Source organism: Homo sapiens, chromosome 5 (genome assembly GCF_000001405.40).
Source record: "Homo sapiens chromosome 5, GRCh38.p14 Primary Assembly".
In the NCBI taxonomy this organism is placed as follows: Eukaryota; Metazoa; Chordata; class Mammalia; order Primates; family Hominidae; genus Homo; species Homo sapiens.
The window spans coordinates 127,203,565-127,205,541 of NC_000005.10; positions in this window are offsets into that span (position 1 = coordinate 127,203,565).

The window sequence follows — 1,977 nt, forward strand, 5'->3', positions numbered from 1 at the left end:
AAAAAACCTCTAGAACTATTAAACAAATTCAGTAAAATTGCAGGATACAAAATCAATATATAAAAATCAGTTGTGTTTCTGTATACTAACAACAAACTCTCTGAAAAGGAAATTAGGAAAACATTTCCATCTATAATAGCACCAAAAAGAATAAAAACTTAAGCATATACCGAAGAGGTGAAAGACTTGTATACAGAAAACCACAAAACACTGATGAAAGAAATTTAAAAAGATGCAAACAAATGGAAAGACATCCTGCGTTCATAGAATGGAAGACTTAGTATTGTTAAAATATCCATACTCACAGTGATTTACAGGTTCAATGCAACCCTTATTAAAATCTCAGTGGCATTTTGTACAGAAATAGAAAAAAAAATTCTGTGATTCATATGAAACCACAAAAGCCCAAGAATAGCCAAATTGATCCTCAGAAAGCACAAAGGTGCAGGCATCATACTTCCTCATTTCACAATTCTTTTAGAAAACCACAGGAATGAAAACAGTATGGTACTGACATAAAGACAGACATACAGATCAGTGGAAGAAAATAAAGAGCCCAGAAATAAATCCATATACCTATTACCAGGTATATGTATATGATATACATATAACCAGAAATAAATCCATATATACAGTCAACTGATCTTTGACAAGGATACCAGAAATACACAATGGGGAAGGAATAGTCTCTTCAACAAATGGTGTTGGGAAAACTGGATGTCCACATGCAAAATAATGAATTAGACCCATATGTTAAACTGTATGCAAAAAATCAACTCAAAATTAATTAAAGACTTAAACACAAGACCTGAAACTGAAGAACCCATTGAAGAAAACGTAGAGGAAAAGCTTCCTGACATTGGTCTTGATACTGATTTCATGAACATAACACCAAAAGCATGGGCAACAAAACCAAAAATGAACAAGTGAGACTATATGAAATTAGAAGCCTCTGCACATCAAAGGAAATAATCAACAGAGTGAAGAAATGATCAATAGAATGGGAGAAAATATTTGCAAACCATATATCTGATAAGGGGTTAATCTGTGAAATATATAAAGGACATCTACAGCTCAATAGTTGTAGAACCTAATTAAAAAATGAGCTAAGGCCATGAATAGCTGTTTATTCAAAGAAGATATACACATGGCCAATAGGTATAGGAAAAAATCCTCAATGTCACTAATCATTAGGGAAGTGCAAATCAAAACCACAACGAGCTATTACCTCACACCTGTCAGGATAACTATTATCAAAGAACCAAAAGGCAACAAGTATTGGCACACATGTGGAGAGATTGGAACTCTTGCACACTGTTTATGGAATGCAAAATGATGCAGCCACTATGCAAAACAGTATGGAAATTCTTTAAAAAATTAAAAATAGAACTGCCTTTGATCCAGCAATCCCACTTCTAGATATTTACTTAAAAAATATTTTGAAAAGATATTTTTATTTTCATGTTCATTGCCACAACAACCAAGATATGTAAACAACCTAAATGTTCATCAGCAGATGCATGCATAAAGAAAATGCAGTATATACAAACAGTGAAATATGATTCAGCTTTAAAAAAAGGAAATCCTGCCATATGTGAACAACATGAAAGAACTTTGAGCATATTTCATTACGCTAAATGAAATAATCCCGTCATGGAAAGACAAATGATTCCATCTATATGAGGTATCAAAAATAATCAAATTCATACAATTGAAGAGTGGAATGATATTTGCTGTGGGGAGAGGTAAATGGTGAGATTCCCTAAATGATTCCTTATTGATTATGTCTAATGTTTATTGATTATGTCTAATCAATAGGCATAAAGTTTCAGTTAAGCAAGATAAATAAGCTCTAGAGATCTGTAAAACACTGTACCTATAGTCAGCAACAATGTACTGTACACGTAAAAATTTGAGACTAGATCTCATGTTGTGTTCTTACTACAATAAAGTAAAAACAAAACAAACAAACAAACA